The following is a 6,716-nucleotide window of genomic DNA, read 5'->3' on the forward strand; positions in this document are numbered from 1 at the left end:
AATTTTTTTCATCAGTATTTTTTGGTTTTCATTGCCTAGGCCTTTTATCTCTTTGTTAAATTTTTTCCTAGGTATTTAATTTTTTTGTAGCTACTATAGTTGGGATTGCTTTTTTGATTTTTCAACTAGTTCATTATTAGTGTATAGAAATGCTACTGATTTTAGTATGTTGATTTTTGTCTCCTGCAACTTTACTGAATTTGTTTGTTCTAAGTTTTTTGGTGAAGTCTTTAGGATTTTCTATATTTAAGATCATCTTGTCTGTAAAGAGGGATAATTTGCCTTTCTGTTTTCCAATTTGGATGCCTATTTCTTTATCTTGCCTGATTCTAAGACTTCCACTACTATGTTAATAAGAGAGGTGGAAGTAGGCATTTGATTCATGTTTCAGTTCTTGGAGGAAAGGCTTTCAGCTTTCCCCTATTCATTATGATGTTAGCTGTGGGTTTGTAATATGTGGCTTATATTATGTTGAGGTATGTTTTTTCTATGCCTAATTTGTTGACAGTTTTTATCAGGATGGGATGTTAACTTATATAAAATGCTTTTCCTGCATCTATTGAGAGGATCATAGTTTTTGTCTTTCAATCTGTTGATGTGATATATCACATTTATTGATTTGCATATGTTCAACCTCCTTTGCATACCTGAGGTAGATTCCATTGATCATGGTATATTATCTTTTTGATGTGTTGCTAGGTTCAGTTTGCTAGTACTCTTGAAGATTTTTACTGTATGTTCATTAGGGACTTTTTTTGGCTGTTGTTTCCTTAGTATCAGAGTAATGCTGGTCTCAGAGGTCAAGTTTGAAAGAATTCGTGCCTCTTCATGTTTTTGGAATAATTTGAGAATTAATGTTAGTTGTTCTTTATAAGTTGAATGTAGCAGCAATGCCATCTGGTCCTAGATTTTTCACTGTTGGGAGACTTTTTATTATGGATTCAACCTCATTACTTATTATTAGTCTGTTCAGGTTTTGTATTCCTTTTTTTTTTCAAGATTGAAAAATTGCTATTTATTTAAAAAAACTTCTGAATTAAATAGGCAAATGGCAATAACTGGTATATACATTAATTCAAAGTATTTTCACTGAGCACTAAATAGAATAGTTTCCAATCTTTTCACTAAGAACCCCTTTTAAAGAATGCCCAAAACTGGCCAGTTGCGGTGGCTCAGGCCTGTAATCCCAACACTTTGAGAGGCCGAGGTGGTCGGATTACAAGGTCAGGAGTTCGAGACCAGCCTGGCCAACACAGTGAAACCCCATCTCTACTAAAAAATACAGAAAAAATTAGCTGGGCATGGTGGTGGGAGCCTGTAATCCCAGTTACTCGGGAGGCTGAGGCAGAATTGCTTAAACCTGGGAGGCAGAGATTGCAGTGAGCCGAGATGGTGCCATTGCGCTCCAGCCTGGGCAACAGTGCGAGACTCTGTCTCAAAAAAAAAAAAAAAAAAAAGAAAAGCCGGGCACGGTGGCTCACACCTGTAATCCCAGCACTTTGGGAGGCCGAGGCAGGTGGATCACGAGGTCAGGAGTTCAAGTCCAGCCTGGCCACAATGGTGAAACCCCATCTCTACTAAAAATACAAAAAATTAGCTGGGCGTGGTGGCACATGCCTGTAATCCCAACTACTCTGGAGGCTGAGGCAAAGAATTGCTCAAACCTGGAGGGGTGGAGGTTGCAGTGAGCCGAGATCACACCACTGCACTCCAGCCTGGGCGACAGAGTGAGACTCTGTCTCAAAAAAAAAAAAAAAAAGCCTAAAACTTAGTTTATTTAAGTCTTTAATCAAGAAATCTAAAGCTGCTAATCAGAGTTTTGAATCACCATTAGATGACTAGGCTAACAACCTTGAGGTCATATAATGTGGGTTTTAAAAGCTTTGTTTAAACTATACTTTCTAACAGAGGGGATTCATTGGTCTCAGGTGATTAATCACAGGTTCAAGTGCGAGATACTGTATATACATAAATAAAATAAAGTAATAGGTATCATTTATAAGGATAAATAACATATGGCCCTGGTATATTCAAGGGGAATAATGTCTTAATTTTTATGGTTGTACAATTAGTGATGGGCAGGGAGACAGATACAAATGACTGACCCACAAGGGAGAACCTAACAAGGGCAATAGAAGAGATAAAAGTCCGGTGCCCTAGGGATGCAGCAGAAAGGGTGCTGGGAGGCTTTAGGGACCAGGTGGCATCTAGGTCAGATCAAGATATGAATGGATGTCAATGTGTGTGTGTGTGTGGGAGGGACCTTCAAGGCTGGAGAAAACAAAGTGAGCCAAAACACTGAGCCACAGGAGTACTCCCTGCTCAGATGACAGTGAAGCATTTGTTCTGAGTAAAAATATGTAATCTAATAAAAGACTGCATAAAACACTGGAAAACCTCACGCAACAAGAGCAGGAAACAATGCTTGTGAGTATTTCTTAACAGCAATTCAAAAGAGTATCTGAGGTGGCCTGTGGAACGAACGAGAGAACAAAATATCTTCCTAAAGGCAGAGGCACCACATGTTCTTGGTGGAGGTTAAGTAGCCAAGGATCATACCGCAAGCCCACCTCCACTCTGAGACCCCAGTCCCTTGGAATCAAATCCACAGCAAAAATCTTACTTAATGGAAAATCTCTCCCTTCCCAAAATGTAAAACAAAAACAATATAGGCAAACAAAACTGAAAACAAAAAGAGATAATCAGAGCAAGCTTTAGCCTCTCATACTTCACCTATGCCCCAACTGCCATGTTACTGAGAAAAGGGTCTGCCCCATTACTTAAATGGATTCATTACTGCAGAACATGACAAAATTTAGCATATCACTGATCCTACTATGTCCCTCCCTATAAAAAAAAAACAAACCACACAAAATATAACCTTACCCTGAATAAAAGTCAGCATTGACCTAAGGATCCTACTGTAATGTGACTACCCTAACCCAGGAAACCTTAATCCTGTTCTGACCTATTCACACAAAAAATCCCCATTCTTAGAGCTTTGGAAGCATTACAAACATTGTTGCATTAGATTCCTCTTTTGAGGTATTCTGAAGCCTTGAAACACAGCAAATTTACATATTTTTCTATACTACCACTGAAGGGTAATTATCATAAAAGGCCTACAACCAAAATCCTCATCCCCTGATTCTTAGGCTATTTTTTTTCCCTCAGATGAAATAATAGGAAACACACACAAAAAGATGAAAGTCATACAAAAATAAAAACATAGAATCTGTAAGTGTCATCACACTAACAGTCTTAACTGTGCTAAAGAGAAAAAGAATTTATTTGGTTTACTCAAGCTCTGGGCATTTTATAAAGTACTCAAGACATTAACAGCTTATAAAAGTAGTGGAAAAAATTTAGGTGGGAGCATAAAACTAACTCCTTCGTTCAAAATGCCAAGTTCATAAGAAGGGATTTGTGGCAAACTGTCTGCACAGGGCTGCCTCAGACACCAGCCCAATCTTGGGCTGACGGCCTTGGCCTTTGTGCTCAGGTCAGTTTCTGAGGTGCAGGGATGTTGGCAGATGCCTGCTTGAGGTACGTGGAGGAGCCCTGAGGGCTGCTGCCTGGTGTTCTGTGCTGCACATTTGATGCCCTTCAGCACCTGTTGCCAGTGCCTCAGCTTTGTCAAGTGCTTCTGGACCAGTGTGTATTTCTGTTGTAATTCATTCCTTAGTTCTGAGACATCCTCTTTGGTAACTTGCTCTGGTGTCTGGACAAGTAATTGCAATCGTTTTTTGTAGGAAAACATTCTGCCTGTGTTGCAATATCCAGAAACTCCTAGATATACTGATCAACAGCAGTTTGAATGTTTTCCTGATCAGTGCCATTGACATAGTCCTGACTCACCAGAGAAGCAAAGCAAGCCTCGAAAGATGGCTCCAATTCATTCACCAGGTACTGTGAGAAGGTCTCAGAGTATCTGGTGCTGCCTGAAGAAGTGAAGCCTGGCCCCGGAGCTCCAATGTGGGTAGTGGGGGCCCTGGTGGCTGCCAAGAGAACATACCACCTAGTGGAGCCACCGTGTCTCGAATAGCCTGTATTTCTTTATGATTCAATCTTGTTATATAAAATGCATCTAGGAATTTATTCATTTCCTCTAGGTTTTCCACTTTGTTGGTGTATAATTGTTCATAAGTCTCTAATGAACCTTTGCATTCCTCGTTATTGATTTCTAGTTTTATTCCATTGTTGTCTGAGAAGATGCTAGATATGATTTCAATTTTTTTTTTTTTTTGAGACGGAGTCTCGCTTTATCGCCCAGGCTGGAGTGCAGTGGCGTGAACTCGGCTAACTGCAAGCTCCACCTCCTGGGTTCACGCCATTCTCCTGCCTCAGCCTCCTGAGTAGCTGGGACTACAGGCGCCCACCACCACGCCCAGCTAATTTTTTGTATTTTTAGTAGAGACAGGGTTTCACTGTGTTAGCCTGGTCTCGAACTCCTGACCTTGTGATCCGCCTGCCTTGGTGTCCCAAAGTGCTGGGATTACAGGCATGAGCCACCGCACCCAGCCTTAATTTTTAAAAATTTGTTGAGGCCAGGCTTGGTGGCTCACGCCTGTAATCCTAGTATTTTGGAATCTGAGGATCCTCAAGTGGGAGGATTGTTTGAGGCCAGGAATTTGAGGCCAGACTGGGCAACATAGTGAGGCATTGTCTCTACAAAAAGTTGAAAATTAGCTAGGCATTGTGGTGTGCACCTATAGTCCTTGTTACTTGGGAGGCTGAAGAGGGGATAATTTGAGCTCAGGAGTTCAAGGCTGCAGTGAGCTGTAGGACTGCATTCCTGCCTGGATGACAGGGCGAGACCGTGTCTAAAAAAAAAAAATGTTGAGACTTATTTTGTGGCCTAATGTATGGTTTACCCTTTAGAATGTTCCATGTGCTGATGAGAAGAATGTGTGTTCTACAGCTGTTGGATAAAAGATTCTGAAAATGTCTGTTAGGTCCATTTGGTCTAAAGTGCAGTTTAAATCCAGTGTTTGTTGATTTTCTGTTTAGACGATCAAATGCTGACAGTGGAGTGAAGTTCTCAATAGTTATTGTCTTGGAATCTTTATTTTTACAGTGAATAATATTTGCTTTATGTATCTGAGTGCTCTGTTGTTGGGTATATATATATATTTAGAGTTGTTATCTACTGTTACACTCCAGTAGCATTTTTGCTATGAAGTGAATCTCCTGGGTTGGATGCTATATTACTTGGTATTTCATGTCTTTGGATCAGGCGTGAATAATAGTGCTGGCTGAGCCTTACAGGACTAGAAAGGCAAATCCATGTTTGGAATAAATCCAGGTATTTATCCCTGTGAGGTTGAACCACTGTACTTTAGAGGCTGGCAGGTGGCTGAAGTAGTCAATTTGTCCCCCAGTAAGTAGTTTATTTTCTTGAGGAATAGTGTCACATTAGGGACTCAACTTTCTGCTGATACATGCTGGGTAGTTCTTGGCAATTCTTTAGGTATCTATGTACCATTTTCCTCCTTTATCAAGACCAACACTTGTGCACTGGGTTATCCTTAGACATAATCATAATTACTGGCCTGGTGGCTGGGAGAGGAGGTTGGACCAGCTCCTGGGAGAGCAGCACCTATTCCCTTGTGAACATAATTTGCAGGTACAGTACAAAATGAAAATGGGGACCTTTGTTCAAAAGGTAGAGGAAAACATGCCATAAAAACAAAGTTTCTTTTTTTCTGTGGAATAATATATATAAGGTCGCACACGGTGGCTCATGCCTGTAATCCCAGCACTTTGGGAGGCTGAGGTGGGTGGATCACGAGGTCAGGAGTTTGAGATCAGTCCAGCCAATATGGTGAAACCCTGTTTCTACTAAAAATACAAAAATTAGCCAGGCATGGTGGCACACGCCTGTCATCCCAGCTACTTGGGAGGCTGAGGCAGGAGAATTGCTTGAATCCAGGAGGCAGAGGTTGCAGTGACCTGAGATCGTGCCACTGCACTCCAGCCTGGGCAACAGAGCATGACTCCATCTCAAAAAAAAAAAAAAAAAAATATATATATATATATATACACACACATATAAATAAAATTATGTATATATTATATATATATGTGTGTGTGGTTGTGTATATATGTCAACCTTTCCTGTTCATCATTATATTGTGCATTGCCCATTTAAATCAGCACAATCAGTGAAATGACACAATTTCTACTTTGTTGCTCCTATTAGGATTTTTTTTTTAGAACATTAGAAATGTTGCAGAAACTAATTCAGCCTTGTTTTTGTTTTTGTTTTTTTTAGACAAGGTCTTGCTCTATTGCCCAGGCTTGAGTGCAGTGGCGCAATCACAGCTCACTGCAGCCTCAACTTCTCAGGCTCAGGTGATCCTTCCACCTCAGCCTCCCAAGTAGCTTGGACTATAGGCATGTGCCACCACACCTGGCTAGTTTTTTTAGAGATGGGATTTTGCCACTTTGGCCAGGCTGGTCTTGAATTCCTACACTCAAGCAATCCACCCAACTTGGCATCAGAAAGTGTTGGGATTATAGACGTGAACCACTGTGTCTAATGTCTAATTCAACTGTTTTACTTCACTTCTCCATATGCACATTCTACCAGTGCACTCTAACTTCAAGTTGAGTAAGAAACAGAGAAAGTAGCTATGAGTTGCCTTATGTTTCCAATCCCTTGTGTGTGATCATTTTCAACACAAGTGGTTGGCTAATAAGAGGAACTTGAGCAG

At 40.6% G+C, this 6,716-nt stretch overlaps 1 long non-coding RNA gene and 1 pseudogene across 3 annotated transcripts in view; one reads left to right on the forward strand and one right to left on the reverse strand.

Annotated features, from left to right (window-relative positions):
- ZNF337-AS1 (ZNF337 antisense RNA 1) overlaps positions 1 to 6,716 on the forward strand; it is a 54,030-nt gene that overhangs the window by 42,314 nt on the left and 5,000 nt on the right. Inside the window, exon 5 of one of the 3 annotated variants that reach the window (NR_126467.1) lies at positions 3,753 to 3,986. The exons of the other annotated variants lie outside the window; for them this stretch is intronic. This is a non-coding gene — a long non-coding RNA (ZNF337 antisense RNA 1). Of the gene's footprint in view, positions 1 to 3,752; positions 3,987 to 6,716 lie in introns of those variants that run through there. 3 annotated transcript variants of the gene reach the window in all.
- MED28P7 (mediator complex subunit 28 pseudogene 7) lies at positions 3,302 to 4,046 on the reverse strand (annotated as a pseudogene).

The sequence above is a fragment of the Homo sapiens genome, chromosome 20 (assembly GCF_000001405.40).
Source record: "Homo sapiens chromosome 20, GRCh38.p14 Primary Assembly".
In the NCBI taxonomy this organism is placed as follows: domain Eukaryota; kingdom Metazoa; phylum Chordata; class Mammalia; order Primates; family Hominidae; genus Homo; species Homo sapiens.